Source organism: Homo sapiens, chromosome 18 (assembly GCF_000001405.40).
Source record: "Homo sapiens chromosome 18, GRCh38.p14 Primary Assembly".
NCBI classification, from domain to species: domain Eukaryota; kingdom Metazoa; phylum Chordata; class Mammalia; order Primates; family Hominidae; genus Homo; species Homo sapiens.
The window spans coordinates 44,511,093-44,530,821 of NC_000018.10; the positions used below are offsets into that span (position 1 = coordinate 44,511,093).

General features: G+C 38.1%; 1 long non-coding RNA gene and 1 pseudogene across 1 annotated transcript in view; one reads left to right on the forward strand and one right to left on the reverse strand.

Annotated features, from left to right (window-relative positions):
- LINC01478 (long intergenic non-protein coding RNA 1478) overlaps positions 1 to 19,729 on the reverse strand; it is a 208,263-nt gene that overhangs the window by 187,658 nt on the left and 876 nt on the right. Inside the window, exon 2 of the long non-coding RNA NR_110792.1 lies at positions 7,133 to 7,276. This is a non-coding gene — a long non-coding RNA (long intergenic non-protein coding RNA 1478). The remainder of the gene's footprint in view (positions 1 to 7,132; positions 7,277 to 19,729) is intronic.
- Positions 11,274 to 11,982, forward strand: MLECP1 (malectin pseudogene 1; annotated as a pseudogene).

Below are 19,729 nucleotides of genomic sequence, written 5' to 3' on the forward strand. Positions count from 1 at the left end.
AACTGATTGATTATGGACTGTCATACGAAAATTTTAGCCATAAAAATGGATTTCTTGGACCATTTTAGCACACATCTATTACCAGATAAATGGTAGAAGTGGGACTCATTTCATATCAACATAGAAGGAACAAGTATTTAGGTAAACTGGCCAATAAATCCAGAATACTGGACAAGAAAACAGCTACAGAGGAATAGGTGTTTCTCTAGCAATATACAACAACTACACATCTTGAGCGCAAAAGCAGCATTCCTTGAACAATATTCCCCTTAATATGCTTATTTCCAACTCATATAATGGATTTGAAATCTAAGTAAAAGTTTGTAAAACTAGAACTTTATTCCTTTATAATTGAAATTAACCCAAACCTCAATTCTCATTTCCAATAATTATGGAAAACTGAGCAACTTGAGTAGAACTAGTCTCTTTCAGTTTATAACACAGTATCAAAGGAATCAACTCTCTGCCTTTACATTCTCTCTGAAATGAACCATCATTATTCCTTGGGAGTGTAAGATCTTCATTTTGGTGAAGTTCAATTGATCATTTTTTTATTTTATGTTTTGTTTGCTTGGTGTCATTGCTAAAAAGTTCTTGTCTACTTCAAGGTCATAAAGATGTTTGCTTATTAAATATGTTTTTTAAATGTGTTTGATTTTTTTAAATGTTTGGTTTTCAAAATATGTTTTATTTTTAATTTTAAAAAGTTTTATGTCTCAATCTATGATCCAGCTCTAATTAATTTTTGTGTGTGGTGTGAGATTGGGGTCAATGTTCACTTTTTCCTATAAGTTTATCCAACTGGACTTAGAGGCTCGGAATGGGGAGCATGGCCAGGGGGCTAGTGATAAAAAAAAAAACAAAAAAACTACACATTAGATACAATGTACACTACTCTGTTGACAGATCTACTAAAACCTCAGAGTTCACCGCTGTATAATTTATCTATGTAACAAACCACTTGTACCCAATTGACTATGGGTCAATTGATATGTGGGTTTGCATCTAGATTCTCCATTTTGTTTCTTTGTTTTATATATATATAGTTATACATAAAATATATATACATATTTTATGTATAACAAAAAATATATATATACAGATATATATAAGATATATATATCTGTTCTTACACAAATACCACATGTTCTTAATTACAGTAGCTTTGTAGTAAGATTTTAAATTAAGTGGTTTAAATACACTGTTATTGTTTCTCAATATGTGTTATGAGTTATTCTAGGTCTTTGCAATCCTGTATAAATTGTATAATCATCTTTTTATTTTGTAAAAAAAGAATTTAAAGATCTATTAGAATTTTGTTGAATCTATAAATCAACTACAGGAAATATCTACAATATTGACTCTTCCAATCAATGAACATGGCATATCTCATCATTAGTTTAGCTCTTTAATTCATCTAAGGCATATCTTATAGGCTTCGGTGTAGACATCTTACTTCCCTTTTATTATACATAATCCTGACGATGTATTTATTCATTTATAAATATTTTATATGTGTACATATATATACATACACATATATAATTTTTTTCTAAATCTTATGAGAGAAATTTGCTGATATGATGCCCCTTTAGTGCTACTTTATTTAGAATGCATTTTCTATAGTACAAAGAAATCAAAATATATTGAGAGTATACTTCCTAAATTGCAAATAACTACAAAGTACAAATAATGACAAAGTTAAAATGATGAGTACTACCCTTTTATTCTCAAACTTTCATACATTATTTTAACATTTATTGATGATTCTTATCTAAGCACATTATTACCAGGATTTTTAAAAATACTTTCCCCAAAAGTTCTACTTATCATCTGTTGAAGGATTAGTTCCATATAAACCATTCCACCATTACCAGAACCAGAACCCCCGGATTACCATTTTAAACATGAATTCTCTTGGTCCAGAATGATTTGTGAAGAAACACATCAGTCTGGACATTGTGGCTCACACCTGTAATCCCAGCACTTTAGGAGGTCAAAACAGCAGGAATTGCTTCAGCCTAGGAGATCAAGACTAGCCTCTGCAGCATGGCAAGACCCCATCTCTACAAAAAAATTCAAAAATTACCCAGGTGTGGTGTCATGTACCAGTGGTCTCAGCTACTCAGGAGGCTGAGGTGGGAGGATCAGTTGAGCCCAGGCAGTTGACACCGTAGTAAGATGGTTCATGCCACTGCACTCTAGCCTTGGTGATAGAGTGAGACCCTGGCATGAAAGAAAAAGAAAAAGAAAAAGGAAAGGAAGGAAAAAGAGAAAGAGAGAGAGAGAAAAAGAGAAAGGCAGAAGGAAAGAAAAGGAAAGGAAGAGAAAGCAAAAGAGAAAGAGAGGGAGAGAGAGAAGGCAAGGCAAGGCAAGGCAAGGAAAGGAAAGGAAAGGGAAGGGAAGGAAAGGGAAAAGAAAACAAAGAATTAAATATGAACATACATAGAGCGGGTTAAATATGAACGTAAATTGAAATACATAAATGAAATATACAACAAAAGTGACAGCTAATTAGGAGTGTTGTTAAAACAAGAACATAGTTATCGTTTACTATAATGTGTTTTTGCTATTATTATTTGTAATCACTCTGCATTGAGTACGCCCTATGTACCTGCCATTTGGGTATATAAGGGTTTTAAATACGATTGTTATGATTTTATTTGATTCTTATAATAACCCAATAAGGTAAATGTTGCTGAAACCTTTTGACAAATGAAGACTCAGGGTTAGAGAATTAGCAATGTCTTGGGTCAAACATCTAAGTGGCAGAGTCAGTATATCAAACTCAGGTTTGATATAATGTAAGAGTATGAAAGTAACTCACAGCTTAGTTTATTGGAACATTCTCAATTTTCTTAAAACTTAAAGCTGGAAGAACCAGTGTTATATTACTAAGGTATCCAGTTAGCTGATTCCAGGTCACTAAACAGGTAGCTGCATTGGCATTCTGTCTGTGTGGACAGTTTGTTCAAAAAAGGGGCTGAGTGCTATTGTTATGAGAATAAGAAGCCAACAGGAAAGATATATCTGAAGGAAAGGACCAGAAAGGAGAAACATTTAAGTGATTAATGTAAATCAAATTCTTTCAAACAAACCCTTCTCTTGAAGGATTAATTTTTTTAGAACATAATACATCTTGTCTTCTCCATTGGGCTAGGTCATGCATGCCAGGGGTTAAAAAGACTGTTTTCTGTCTCATCATTCCTTAGATATTTACTTCTATAATTAGTTCAAGACATTGATGCGAGCCTGACTCATTAAGATAATTGAAGAGGAAAAAATATATTTACACTAGATTTCCAAAGGACTTGGCCAATGCCTAATTTTATCAAGAACCAATTATATACCTATAGGGCTGGAAATACTGTAATTTATAGACCTTACCACTAAAAGGCTTTCAGTCCAATGGACCTGATACAGAAACATTAAATGCTTACTCATATTAAAGAACATAGGAAAATAAGTAACAGTTACCACCTGGAAATATACAGTAAATTAAATGTGTTATACATGCAAGGAGAGCTAGAAATGAGGAGAAAGCAGGTGCAATGTGGCTTGGAAACATTTCACAGTAGATTTGGCACCACAGTATTGAATAGTTCATCAGCAGCAGTCATCATTATGCCTAAAACAGAAAAGTTGAAGTGTAACCCACATATATTACAGAAAGTTGGGCTGCCATTTATCCCTTTTTCTGCTAGTCAAGAAAGCACACAACAAATTGTACAAAAGTACGATAGTTGTTTTTACAGAAGCAACCCTGAAATGCTGTATTGTGTAAAAGAAATATCATCCATATACCTAAGCATTTAACTCTTTTCAGTGACAGTTGACTTATGACACACCTCATAGTTCCTCTACCTGCCACAACATTGTGGTTAAGAACAGCTGGCCTAATGACCTCTAACAATTCTTCTACTTTGAGCATTCCCTAAATCTTAGATCAAATGTTGATTAGAAGCTTGATTCTATGAACATGCCATGTAAAGTCATTTATATAGAGAATAGTTGAGACAGACTTCACTATTGCCTTTTAGAATTGAGCATTCATTAGCTCATGAAGGCATTTGAAAATTGAAGAATTTCTTGGTAGTAAAATGAAAACAGAAATTGTTATCAAGAGAGGAAACGAAAAGATTGCCAGAATCTTAGAAGTCCCTCCTTGTAGACAGGATCTCTTGGGCTAGGATCACAGCTCAGAGAAATGAAGGATACCAGACTAAGCTCAGCCTCTTTGTCCAACATGGTAAACCACAAAAGAGTGATAACAATATGCCCCTAGATAAAAGAATCAGCTATGGTGTTCCCCATGAACAGTATGATAGTGACAGTGAGAGTTATGTGGGATGGAACTGGTGAGGGAGAAGAATCATAAGGTATATAGCCCCAGAAAGGCTATTTTCTGTTCAAGCTTCAACTACAGTTCTGCAACCATGAATATTAAATTCTTTATGACAAAGGTAACCATTACATTAAGGAAACAAGATGTACAAAGTGTAATTGGAAGTCAACGTACTTTTTTCTCTACCATCCCCAGCCCCACCCTCACTCCATCACTCTCATCCAGTCTCTCTAAATCTGGGGGAAGGGGATTTACTGATTATTCTTATGTTATAAAAATTATACAACACAAAATAGTCTGCATAATTAAAATCCCCAATCTCATATTAAAAAAAAAAACTCAAAACTGGCTTTAAAATGAAAACTTTCCCTTCCATTTCAGAGTGCTGCACACATGAATCTTGAAGTTGAGGAAGCAGATGTGATCAGCTTCTTTAGTTTTGCAGTGGGCCCCCTCAAACCTCTTCTCACTTAGCTCAAGTGGAGAGACACCAACACCTATCTCGAAAAATTTACCCTCAAATCATCAACTCCCAAATCTTTTGTAATTTTTGCATGTGTGGGAGGATTAAGAATTGTGCAATTAATTGGTTTTTGACAATTTAAAAATTTTGCATCCTCTGTCACCTAATGTCTATTGAATATTTGTGTTGTGCATACACTGTGTTAGTTCAATGTATCTAAGAGACAGGAGGCAGATATTCTCTTCAGGATGAGTGCCATAAAAGTGAAACAAAAATTTCACCAGAGAAGATCAGTGGTCACTGGGACTGTCTGGAAAGTTTTCAGAGAGGGCATGATATATGTGTTGTAACTTAAGAGAGATGGATGGATTTCCAACAGGCAGAAGTGAGGGATAAATTTCTTCATATTTACTGAAAAAAGTATAACTATAATCAATTGGTCAAATTGTAAAGGTGCCAGATTAAAAAAAAATGTTTACTTGTACTCTATGGAATGTATTTAATTTCGTACATTTTACTATATGTCTGTCTGATTCAATTGATCTATAAGTTGTTAAGAAGATAGCAACTGAATTGGGTATTTGCCTTTTTGGGCTACTCAGTATTGGAACTCACTCCCTTGGAGGACAGATATGTTTTCCCTAACTCCTGGCAGCTAGACAACAGGCACTTCATTGAAACTCAATCAATTGCATATTTTCCCTGGGACTTTAATTGGGAGCAAATAAAGCAAAGACACAGGAAGCAAATTGGAATGCCTCTAACTGTGGTGACGGCATGCATCTCCCAGCAACCATGTCAGTGGTGACTTCTAATACCCAGACCTAGTATTGTAGGTCAGATTCTTTTTGTAGCATCTTCTTAGATGTAATTCAGGCACACACACTAGCCTACTTCAGCTTCTGCTCATTTTCTGAGGCCAGTTCTTTACTCTTCCCAATTATTCTTGGAGTTATCCAGTATTCTTCCAATAAATTCCTTTTCTGCTTAATTTATTCAGGCTTTGTCTCTGTTGTTTGCGACCAAGGACCCTGACTAAAAAAATGTGTCTTTTTTTCTTGTTCTCTTTTATTGACATAATAAGCACTCAATCGTTGGCCTGAATGGAATTGAAATGTCCGTTGCCAGATTTTGAAAGGCTTTAAGTTTTAAGTTGATGATTTTGTCTTTTATGCAAAGGACTGGTGTGAAAAAAATTTTGCTAATGTCATTCTCAGTATTCTCCCTCTTAAAATCTCACCTATCTCCATGGGTTCTAAGGTTATAGTTCACATTTCAACTTCTTCATGAATATTTTCATTTGGATACACTGCCAGCACTTCAAGCATATCATTTAACAATTAAAATTTTTAATTTATATCCCAAATCAGTTCCTTTTTTAAACTTCCTTATTTTTCTTAACTTTATAACAAGGTTCACAGCCTTGGATATCCCCGCACACACCCACCCCCTCCCCGCCCCTCCCTACACACATACTTTGACTCCTTTTTCTCCTCGTGGCCTCTCACCAATTCCAACTAAATTATAGCTCAGGAACTTATTAATATCACTAAAATCCTAGGTTGGAATGTCAGTCTCCTTGACTTTACAATTCTTATATTCTTTTGGCAATTATTCTTTCTAGGTTGCCCTAGGGGGATGTCCAGAAGTGATTAGGTAAAAGCAAAAGTAACTAAAGAGAAGGACTTAGGCTAATAGTACACATCTATCAAGAAGGATTAGAACTGACCATGAGAAGAGACAACTTGAATTTCAAAGATGACCTGGAAAAAGAGATCTCAGTAGAGTTGTGGTAATGAATATGAGACAGTAAGTGTTTGTAAAAGGGTGGGATGAAAGTTGGGTCTGTAAAAGCAGATAGTTTCTTGAGAACATGAAGAGAAAGCAATAGCAGGAAGGGGCAATAGGTGTGGGAGAAAGCTGTACATATGTAGTTATTACAAAACATGACAATTAGAACCAAACGGCCTAGATTCACATCTCAGAGCCATTATATCCCACCAGTTCCCCGACCTTAGGCATTCAAATATTACCTCTCCCTGCCTCCATTTCTTCGTCTCTAAAATGCAGCTAATAGTATCTGTCCCAGTGACGATTAAACGAGTCTGTACATCTAAAGCACTTCTGAGAGAGCCAGTAAATCAGTAAGACATCAGCAAGCATTAGTTCCAAAGGGTAATTTCCTTCTTTTTTCCACATTATGAAAGACAAAAGCTTATTTAAAGACATATGTTTTTAAATAAGAAGATAAGTTTTAAAATGGAAAAGAGAGAAGAAAATCTAGCAGAGGTAGATCTGTGAGACAGGGAGAGGACAATACGTACCAGGATTTATAAGCTTGGCCTTTCACACAGAGATGACTCGTTGGGCAGGGAGGAAAGCAGCTCAGAGAATATTTCCATAATTCTTCAGTGAACAGGAGGATGTGATGAACAAGTTGTACTGAGCAATCCACGTGTTGTTCTGCACTGGGAGAGGGAGAAGGGGACTGTCTAGGGGCTGAACTGCAGAGAGAAGGATTTTTACGAACTTTGCTGGGATATGTAGTAACCACTTTGGTCTCATCCCAAGTAAGAGAGACTTTGCTGCTGATCTTACTCCTGGACCAGACATCTTTTCAGCATTTAGGTCCTCCCCAGTCCATAAATGCAATAGGCATGCCAACTCATCAGATCCAGAAAATGAGCTGCCATAACTTGACACTTGTCCCTTTTTGTCAAATGTATAGTACACACTGTGTAGTTAACAGAGGGAGAGGATAAGGGGTAAGTTTTAAACATACATTTACATGGCTTTACTTTCTAGAAAATGTCTCACATAATTTTTATTTAAAACCTATGGGGCTTTCCTCAATGTGGTTTGGAAACACTTATGCATCCCTGATAGGTATGTATGTTGGAGAATTACATCACATTACACACAGATGTATCCTTTGTCTGCTCTGGGGCCATCCCACCAAGGAACCATGCCAAGAAACTTCTGAGAAGCAGACAGGCCATGGGCCTTTAAAGGAGGGGTGCTGTTTCCTCTTGTTCATTCCTAGTCCACAAGTTAGACTCAAGTCTTCTGTGGGTCTTGGGACCATTTCAGTTCCCAATGTCAGCGTCTTAGCCACCACTCATTCTTCTGTAGAGAGGGGCTGCTGAAATGATGGAAATCCAAAAACACTAAAAACAATGCCTTATGAGTGAGAAAACTTATAACCTCTTAGCAAGCTTTGGCATCTCTCTATCTCATTTCCTTCTAACAATAATCCAGCTGGTTGGGAGAGATAGATATCATAAGCCCCATTTTATAAATAAATAACTGAGGCACAGAAACTCATAAGTAAATCCTCTCATGATTTCCATCATGCTTTATCACAATCCCTGTGAACTCAGTTTCTACTTCTACAATCAAAACACAACAGGAAAATTCACTACCTACTAAAATATCTTGACAACTATACAGGCAGGGATTGTAACTGAATAATCTCTGTATTCTCAGCATCTAACCCAATACCTGGCATGGGATACTCACTCGATGAGATATCAAATATCTAAATATATCAAACTAAACCGAATGAAGTACTATATTATCTACTTCCTTGAGCTGTTCTTGTTATTCTCACCTTTGCTGAAATGAACAGACTCAATTTCACTGTATTATATAAACCCAAGGGCTACCAAGAGAAATATTGACCCAACAGTAATAATAGGTAACTTTATTTCAAAAACTTATTCATTCCCTGACTAAGTCTACAACTATTTCTCTAAGGATGGGTAAAATACACAGAATATATTCCCTTTACAGATTTCCCCAAGAATAGGAATCATGTCATCTACTTCTTTCTGTATCTCAACACATTGCACAAACTTCTGCAAATATTTAGGACAAAAGAAGTTTCAGACAACTGTATTTGGGATTCTGAACACTATTCTCCTAATGATATAGAATTCAATCAAATCATAAAACTATAAATAATTTCTGGGCAAAGAAAATGAGCACGGTTTTGCACTGCGTTCTATATGAGATACAAGATCTTTATACAAAGTATTTTCTCTCGGTGTGCTTACTTGTTAAATCATGTTAAAAAATAAAAGATGAAAAAATAAGTACAGGTATGGCTTAAAAAGATTATAGGAGTTCAGGAAAAAAAGATTCACATAGTACATTAGTCAGGTCTTCATTGAAAAGGTGAAGCTTGAGACTCATCAAAAAGGATGCTACATCAAGGCTATTGCCCTCAAGCTACATTCCTTATCAGCCATCTGCAGCCTGGAGGTGTACATCCCCTGATTGAGGTGATAAGCCTGGGCTTATATGATGGCAGATAGGATTGTTTTGCACAACATAGCTCCATCTTCAGATTTCTTATTTGGTGGTAAATTTCTGCTTTTGTTTGCATTTTTGTTTTGTGAAAACCCTCCATCAACATCACCATCTGAGTCCGATAATCAAGATATAAAAAGGAAATGATTTTAAATATATGAAGATTTAATTAAGAGCACCCAAGCCTGTCAAGGTGAAAGTGACCACAGAAAGTGATTAGGAGGGCCATAGTGACACAAACTCAAAAAAGCCTATCACATACTCACACAAAAACTACACAGACCCATGGCATCCAGACACACAAACTCACACACACAAACCAATGCATGCATATAAATACTCCAAAGCCAACCTGTTTGCCATTCTTGTGCAAGGTGGGAAACTGCAATATCCCCTAAAAAGTTAATGTTTCTCATTAGAAAATCTCTTATTTCACTTCAACCTAGTTTCAGATTTTTGTCTCTAAGGTCACTAAGGGTCTCAGCTTAAAGTCATTTCTCCAATTGTTTGTGGCATCTTTTTTTTTTTATTCTTCCCCCTCTTCCTATTAGCAGTCAATTAACTGTAAATTAGAAAATATTGTTACATTTGAATTATTTTGAGCAAATGCAAACACACTATAGAGATTGACAATTCACCCATAATTATCACATTAAACATTTTTTTTGCAAATTTCAGAGCTACAAAAGTACTAATTAGGGAGATTTGATGTTTTTAGTGATCTCAGGTATTTAAGGGAACAACACATGCATATGGGGCTGTAGATACTCTAATTCTTTCTTGGTTCTCTCAGTTATAAAAGCTTAACCTTTATAATAAGTTCTCCTTTTAACCATAAACTTGAGAAACAGAAGAAAATCCACTACTAGGAACATCCTTCACCACCACACAAGCTCAGTTTCCAGGGGCCAAAACAAAAGGCACATTATATATCTTCAGCTGCATGGCCCAAAGGTACCTGACTGGAACTGGGAGCCCCTCCAGCCCAGTCAGAAGGAAAATATTACCCTTCTATTTAACAAGGCAGTGCTGAAGGATTAATCATTAAATAAATAGCAACAAGCCAGGAGATTTACAGGAGGGACAGAACCCCACCCGGTGTTCTCAATTTTTCTGGGATTCAGGATGGAAATTATTACAAGAATAGTTTGGAAGGGGCTTCACTAACAATCACCTTCCAAGGCAAGATGGAACAATGCGTGCAACCTCAAGTAGGACCCAGACAAGAGGGAAGTTCATCACCCAAGCCCTCTGGGGAGCATAGGTTCCTTTTGTCTAACAGCTGGCATCCATGCACAGGATTGATCAAACCTGGAGAATGTGCAAAGCCTGGCCATGTGTTGCTGTGTGACTTTAAGCAAGTCATTTAACCTTTTTGGACTTTGTCTTTCTCAATTTGAAGCGGATATGCTACCCATATTATAAAGTACACCATAACTAGTCATACATAGGAAATAAAAATCTTGTCACTTGGGTTGTTTATGTCTCTTCAGGCCTCCCTCCTACAAGGACAGATCCAAATAAGTCCTGACTCTCTTTAGAAAAAATATTTCTGTAATCTGAGCCAGGAGACCAGAAGCATTTGTCTCAACAAAATGGGGCATATGCCTTCTCTTAGAAAGTAGATCACAATTCTAAGAATGCTTCATGAATGACCTCACCTTTGGGTTGTAACATGTTTGGTCTATTCTATGTGACTAGATGGTGTTGAAAAGATATAGACATTTCATGAAATATGTTATCTCAAAAGTACATCCCTATTAAAAGAGATTGAACAAGAGTCTTTATCTGTGATTAGATTTATTCTGTCTCCTGTTATAATTTGTATGTATGAACTCAACAAAAAATATTTACCAGACATCTAAAGTGTGCTAAAACCAGTGTTCAATGTTCAATAAAATGTAAGAAAATGATGGGACACAATCTCTGTATATATGGCAATTCATAATACAGTCAGGATATAGTAAGAAGAGAAAAAGATAGCACAAATAAAATATGTAAATAAAAATATAAGCAGCATTTGGAAGGAGACATGAAAGCTTCATTTCCACTGTAGCTGGGACAGACCTGTGATGTTGTTTTCCTGAGTCCAGGGTGACCTGGCAGGAAAGGGCAGTGATGATAGCTCCTGGGTGGTGGCACCCTGGTATTGTGCTAGGGGCCAAGCTGCCAAAGAGCATCACTTGGGGTGTCAAGCAGGTAGTAAAGTAGATTTAGACATGTACAGGGACTCATTTCCTCAAGAATGCATTGGAAGGTCAGGTGAGCCAAGCCACAGACTATGGCTTGATCTGCAATCCCAGGCTTCAATCCTGTGCTCCAGATCAGAGAAGGCCTGATGGAGAGTTATCACAAGGGGTCCTTGCTATGAAGTACCCATCAAGAGGACTTCTCACTGTTTTTGAAAGTTTCTGAGGTCTCCTTTGCACAATGTCAACTGTTTAATGTGTAACTAAATTGCCATAGCATGGTGAAAGACAATATCTTTAATGGTACGCGGGTACAGCACAGCCCATAACAATATCATCCCTATGAGCATCAGAAAAAGAAAGGGGTAGGTGTTCTCTGTCACTGAGAAACTCTACTTCAGGTTTATGAAAGGGGCACTATAGTAGTCCCAAACTCTGTACAATCTACATCATGGCAGGGATGATAAATGATAATTCTCCAGGATTGGAGAAAAAAGAAAGAGGACAGATTGTGCTGAAGGGTCTGATCTCAAAGGGCAGACCAATAAGAATCCACTTTAGTTGACTCTCCCTCCATGCTCAACCTCTATGCTTTGGACAAGAATAGCCTCATTTTTTCTATCCTCATGGACTTCGGTGTCTCCATTTCCTCCCTCTTTTGACTCTGCTTGTTGTGAGAGCAAAGAATCTTCCTGAATGGGGTGGATGGTATGGGAAAGAAACCAAGCATTGTTGATTAGGGATTTTCATGATGATTAACAAAACAACAACAAAAATCAAACAAAGGAAATTCAAGGAAGTTGTTATATGAATATTATTATATGAATGACAGAATGTGATTAAGTGTTCAATGAGAAGATTAAATAATGCGTTTTCTGTATGTTTATTGTGGCACTATTCACAATAGCAAAGGCTTGGAACCAACCCAAATGTCCATCAATGATAGACTACATTAAGAAGATGTGGCACATATACACCGTGGAATACTATGCAGCCATAAAAAAGGATGAGTTCATGTCCTTTGTGGGGACATGGATGAAGCTGGAAACCATCATTCTCAGCAAACTATTGCAAGGACAAAAAACCAGACATCACATGTTCTCACTTATAGGTGGGAATTGAACAATGAGAACACTTGGACACAGGAACGGGAACATCACACACCGGGGCCTGTCATGGGGTGGGGGCAGGGGGGAAGGATAGCATTAGGAGATATACCTAATGTAAATGACGAGTTAATGGGTGCAGCACACCAACATGGTGCATATATACATATGTAACAAACCTGCACATTGTGCACATGTACCCTAGAACTTAAAGTATAAAAAAAAATTACCAAAAAAAAAAAATAATAATGCGTGTTCAAAGGTGTCCCAAAAATGCAATAGCGACATGATCTGGAATCAAAAGATAAAGTTCCATAGAGGAAAAGAAAGACGAAAATGCAGTTTTGAAGGATGAGAAAGAGTATAATAAATTGAGAGCATGATAGCATGTATGAGGACATTTCCAGCGAGGAGAACAGTTTTCCAGCTTAAGCAAAGCTGTAAAGATGGAATGAGTTTCATGTTTGTCAGAGAATAGTAGCCAAAATGATCTCCTTTCTTTCAGGGTATAATCTTTTGGGGTACAGTCTCTGATTTCTGGACTCCAGCCTTCTGACTCCTTTCCCTCTTGTCTTGTTCCCTCTCCCATATCCATGTCATGCTTGCAGGGAGGCTTCCTAGAATACTTAAACCAGGATGGCCCTTTTATGCTTGTATGTAACAGTCATCATATACTCCTCCAAGATTCACTTAAAAAATCTGTCCTAAACCTTATGCTAAACCTTATGTCTGCCATTTCTACAGGCATATATCCCAAAAAGTGCCTAGCACAGAGTAAATTTTAAATTAATTAAATGATTATCAGATTCTTGAGAATGAGATCTGGCTTCAAGGAGTAACATTACTGATACAAGATGAAATAACATGGTTCAAGCTCTCCATTCAGGACCTAGTGTTGGTAAGAAAAGGCTTGCATAAAAGGAATGACAAGGTAATGTTATGAAGAGTTTAATAGACACATATGTTGCTATCAAAAGCATGAAAGGGGGCATCAACACTGCTGGGAGGGTCAGGGCAGGCTTCACAGAGGAGGTGAGCTCTTTGCTGAATCTTAAAGGATAGGGGGAGGACTCACTCTTTAGCTAGCAGAGAGTAAAGCAGAGGATTTGAAATATGAGTAGTGTAGGGAGCAGTAGATTAAATTGGAGCTTAGAGATGCTTTGAATTTCAACCTTTGTTTTATCTACAGAGAGTCACAGCCGGAGCATATTGTCACAAGTTGAAGTCTAAATTGCTTTAGATCACAGGTTCCCAAAGGGTAAGTCCATGTCTTTGGTGTATTCTCTCAGAACTTCATGCCTCCTGCACGGTGGGTGTTCAAATAAATATTTAATAATAATGAGGTGATTAATTGAGGGCACTCATGTTCCATATGCACGGGTAGAGCCCTCTTTTCACTTTAATTACTATTGCTTTAATCATCATTAAATGCGTTTCTTAGATAGCAATTTGGTTCATGTTTAAACGTTCTGGCTGCCTAAGTTTCTAGCCCTAAGGTAAATAGTAGTATCAGAGAATAACCCTGTTCTTAGTTCTAGTAAATGATTTTGTGACACTGTCTATATGAACCTGAAGCAGAATTCTAGAAAGACACTTATCAAGAGATTACACCTGGAAGAATGTTGGAGAGGACTCGCGATGTTGGGAAATATAGGGAATTCCCTAGAAGGAACTGGGAATCCAGTGAGGAGTTTCTCACATAGCAGAGGCAGAAATAAAATCAGAAAGAGGTCTTCCAACAAGTGTGGCAAAAAATATATGAGTTCCTGACTTGATGATGCAATCCGGGGAGGAAACTACGAGTAGCCATAGCAACTGGTCAACTGGTGAGTGTGCTTCAGACCCAATGGACCCAAAAGGGTGAAAAGTAGAAACACACCTGTATGTGTGAGCATCTCTGCCAGCCAGATCATCAATGATCAAACTGCCCCAGGTTGTAAAAGGCCAATCTCACCTCAGCTGAATAAAGGCTAAAATGAATTCAAGACTCTTAGGCCAGGAGAAGTCTGGAGAGCAGTGAACTCCAATGCAGAGGAGGTAGCATCATTTCCCGCAGCAAAGCTATGCCCAGTAATGGAGCAGAAGCAAAGAGAAGGTTAGAGTTGAGAAGGAGAAAAGGAGAACAGAGGTTAGAACACTTACAGCTTTTTCATATGCACAAGTGGAGAAAGCATTTATGAAAGCTTCTTGCTTGACCAATTTACTGCCCCAGGCCTAAGGGCCCAGCATGGAGCAGGCAATCACTGCAGATCAAATACAAGACTGGGGCTTTTGGGCAATCATCCTAGAGGATCCTAATCAGTGTTAAATATTGTTTCTCTTTTTCCATTCTTGCCACAGTAGAGCCTATTATGCATAAAACATTCAGAGTGATATTTTTAAAATACAATTCAGATAGTATCATTCTCCTGTGTAAAACTCCCCAATGGCTCCCCATAGTATAGCTCTATGATTATTGTAGTGCAGAGGTCTCAAACTCAAAAGTCTAGAGGGACTAGATTGTAAGTGTTAAAAACACATTATTAGATTAGAGGGGCCTCTCAGAATGCAAGTATGTGTGAATTTAAAGAGCACTGTTGCCGCTTCCCCCTTTCATGTGTTGCCATGTGAAATTATGAACCCATCATTGCTAGAATTAATTTTTAAACACAACGTGGATATCTAAATTTTATGTGAAATCTAATTTTAAATGTTGGATCAAATTTATAAAATATACTTCATGCTAAGCAAAATGTATCCGCGTAAGTGTTCTGTCTACTAACTGCCAACTGGGCTCCTCTGGGATAGGGATAAGGCCAGTCTAGAATTGGTGTCAGATAAAGTTATCTCATGATTGCTGACATAGGGGTTAAAATTGTACCAAACGCAATAAGTGTTATGAGAAGCAAATGGCCAGATCAAAGGGCTAAACTTATATCTGCGCAGTCTAAAGAGGGGCCTCAAAGACTGAGGATAAGAGATTAAGACAGGAGATCTCACTAGAACCCACGCAATGTAACCACAGCAGAGAGATCCATAGAGCTATTGATGCCTCAGTAACTTTCTGAAGCAACAAGCCAAGCTTATAAGATTGCCTTACCATGTATGGTCTCTAACTAGACAATTTCATCTTCTGTATTTATGTATGAAGAGGCAACAGAATGCAGAAGGAGTAAGAACATACTGTTGGCTAAATGCTCAAAACAACATCCATCTCTTCAGAGGTCTGAGTGGGCTTGTGGTTCATAGACAGCACAGCCTTACTGAGTGGGGTGCAAAAGTATACTTCTTGCTGATTATTCCCAAAAGTAACCTGTAGCATTGGGGAAATAAGACATGGGCCTAATTCAGTTGGAGATAACACACTAAAGAGTACCTGAAGCAAACCCCAGATCAGAGGCATTTCAATCAGCAAAGGGGAAGTTCAGAATCTCAGAGAGGAAGAGAGTGGGTAGGTGTTATCAAAAAAGGTTTTAGAGAGAAGGCAGGACATGAGATAAAGAATAAATTGATGAAGTTTTTATTACTTCATTAATTCAACAAATGTTTATAGAATGCTAGGCATGGTTTTAAACATTGGCATTGGGGATACAAGAGAAAAGAAAGCAATGACCCTGATGGAGCTTATTCTGGTTGACAAATAATTTCTGCTAGTTAGAAAATGAAAGAGGGAAATAAGACTAGTGTGGTTAGGAGTTGGGCATCTCTTCAGAGGTGGCACCTGATCTATATCCTGATAGACAGAAAGGAGCCAGACAGATAAAGGTGTCAGGAGAAAGCATCTCAGGCAGAGACAATAAGAGGCATATGGTGGCAATGAGCCTAGTGTGTTCAAGAGAATAAGTTATATATTGTGGTAATGAGCCTAGTGTGTTCAAGAGAATAAGAGGTATCTGGTGGCAATGAGCCTAGTGTGTTCAAGAAAGAGGCTGGATGGAGGTAGTGCCATGAGATGAGAGATAGTTGGCAAGGGTCTTGCAGATTCTAGACACAGGGAAAGAATTTCAATTTTGTTGTATTTTTAATGTGCAGCCATTGGAGTGTTTTAGGCAGGAGAATAATATGATATGGACAGTACCTTTAAAGATCACACTAGCCATTATGTGAAAAAGAGAATTTAAGGACAAAGAATAGAAGGGCATAGACCTTCTAGAAAGTGAATGCAGGCCGGGTGTAGAGGTTCACACTTATAATCCCAGCACTTTGGGAGGCGAAGTCGGGCAGATCACAAGGTCAAGAGTTTGAGACCAGCCTGGCCAATATGGTGAAATCCCATCTCTACTAAAAATACAAAAAAAATTAGCCAGGCGTGGTGGTGCATGCCTGTAATCCCAGCTACTCGGGAGGCTGAGGCAGGAGAATTGTTTGAACCTGGGAACCTGGGAGGCAGAAACTGCAATGAGCTGAGATTGCACCACTGCACTGCAGCCTGAGCAACAGAGTGAGACTCTGTCTCAAAAAAAAAAAAAAAAAAGTGAATGCGATAGAGCAGGCAAGAGATTAAAGTGTCTCAAGTGGTGTTTAGCAGTGCTGAGTTGCTCCAAGTATTGAAGCTGAATCTGATAAATAAGAAAGGACCATGAAATACAGTATTTTGATAGTTGTAGGCAAATTAATCCAATTTTTAAAGAGAGCACTGAGATTCCTTACCATAGGACTGATGTGACAGTATAAGAATAATTTATTTTCTTAGTTGTTTACCACCTGTTTTTCTCTGTAAACTTCATGAGGAATTTGGTCTTACTCTTCAGGACCCCATCAACTTTACTACCATCACCGCAAGACAATGAAGCATCCTGAAGGCAAACACCATGCTAATTTCACTTTGAACACAGTTATTAGCATACAGTATGCTCAATAAGTGATTAATGAATGTAATGAGCATATAAGTGGAAGAACAATGTATTCGATGAAATAAATAAGATTTAACGGAAAGATATTAGAAGAATAACAAGCAATGAAGTTGCTACAATAATGCAGATTTGAAATTAAGGGACTATACTAAGGAAAGAAGGAATGAAAGAGAAATGCAATCTGCATTTTTAAGGAAATCAATAGAATGTGGTAATAGTGGTGGCCTATTGATCATAAAAGATAAAATTGAGAAGGAAATTAAATATGATAGATTAGTATGTCACATCTATTTCACCCTCAACTCGCATCTCCTGTCCAGTGTGCTAACCTCATCTGCAAAGTTGGGAAAAATGAAAAACACATTTCCCAGGGACTCTTGTAGTTAGGATTCTTGATGTGATATAGGTTTGGACAATTTCATGCATATTCATGATATTTTATTTTTCTATTTTATTTATGTAGTTTGTTTGTTTGTTTGTTTGTTTGTTTGTTTTTGAGACAGAGTCTCACTCTGTCACCCAGGCTGGAGTGCAGTGGCACCATCTCGGCTCACTGCAACCTCCGTCTCCCTGGCTCGAGCAATTCTCCTGCCTCAGTCTCCCAAGTAGCTGGGCTTATAGGTGTGCACCACCATACCCGTGTAATTTTTGTATTTTTGTAGTACAGATGGGATTTCATCATGTTGGCCAGACTGGTCTTCAACTCCCGACCTCAAGTGATCAACCTGTCTGGGCCTCCCAAAGTACTGAGATTACAGGTGTGAACCCCCATTCCTAACCCATTTGCATGCTATTTAAAGGAAGAATTGAAGTGGAGACTGCACTACCTGCCACTGCTATTTTGCTGGCAAGCACGGCCATTGAGATGTTCGGGTTTTAATGGTAGCATTTAGCAGATGAGAGGGTCCAGTCAGGCCGGCGCGGTGGCTCACGCCTGTAATCCCAGCATTTTGGGAGGCCAATGTGGGCAGATCAGGAGGTCAGGAGATCAAGACCATCCTGGCTAACACGGTGAAACCCTGTCTCTCCTAAAAATACAAAAAATTAGCCAGGCATGGTGGCAGGCGCCTGTGGTCCCAGCTACTCAGGAGGCGGAGGCTGAGGCAGAATGGCGTGAACCTGGGAGGTGGAGCTTGCAGGGAGCCAAGATAGTGCCACTGCACTCCAGCCAGGGCGACAGAGCTAGACTCCATCTCAAAAAAAAACAAAAGAAAAGAAAAGAAAGAAAAAGAAATTCAGAAATCAGGCTCCCATTTTGCTGATGCAGATTACAGCAGGTTCATAGGACTGACAACAATAATGGCTTCTTAATTATAGCACTTTGCTGGTGTTGACCACTTTCTGTTTGGTAGCATTGGCTACCATGAAGAATCTGCAGCTTCCTTGGTGGCAAGATACAGTATGGCAGACTTGGGAGTTATTTCTGAAAGTTTAACATACATTTAGTTTCTTCCACCCTCTGAGAGATTTTATAAGTTATTTAATATTCTCATAATTGGATCCTTATGGCTTAAATTAGCCAGAGTAGGTACTGTTTTTTAGAATTGAACTGTGGGAGATAAATAACTATTTCTGGATTCGAACCTGAGGGACTGGAACAGTGGTGGACACAAAAGAAAGAAAAAGTAAGGAAGATGAGAAGAGGATAGAGCCTGAAAGAGAAAAAGAAGACGTTTTCTTGCCTTATGGAGAAATTGAAATAGGCAGTATGACAAGAGGGAAGCAGAGCCAAAACAGGATTGAAAAACTTCAGTATATCCACAAAGCAACAAGCAAATATCAATAGACACACACCCTGGGACTTGAACACAGAAGCCCTGAGTAACCTGAATTATCAGGAAGCCTTTGGAAGCAGGCAGCACCCTGTTAGGAGGAGAGAGCTTCCAACATGATTGCTGAAAACAGAAAGATTCCTTGGAAAGCAGTTCCATGACAGTTTAGATGAATTCAAATGGTCTGTGTACATGTTTTGGACATTGTCACAAACAGGAAACATGGGATTGAGCCATTGGATACAGTGCCTGCCTTGCTTGTCAGCCAGGGCCACAGGGGCCAGTGCCAGCGTAATGCAGCAGAAACGCACAGAAACACTTGGGTGCCAACAAAACACAGAGCATCCTGGAGGCTGCTCTTAGACAACAGCGGGACAAAAATGCCTTCCCCACAGAATTTGAATGGTCAAAGAAAATCCCATAGTGTGAGGTACTGGAAATTGTTTTCTTAATGGAACATCAGAACGATTTACATAGTAATGGAACTGTCTAAAGTTTAGCAATGTCCTGGGTTTCCAGACTGCTCTTGCCAACGTTAGACCAAAGATTATACAGGGAAGGTTATGATAGATGTGAAATAGAAGAAAGGGAGAAACGAACATGACTATGAATCCATGGGTGTGTTTTGCAAGTGTTTATAATGTTTCATTTTATTTATTTGCTCATGTATTTGTTCTTTTGCTTTGTTTTTGCTCTGACCCATTCCACAAA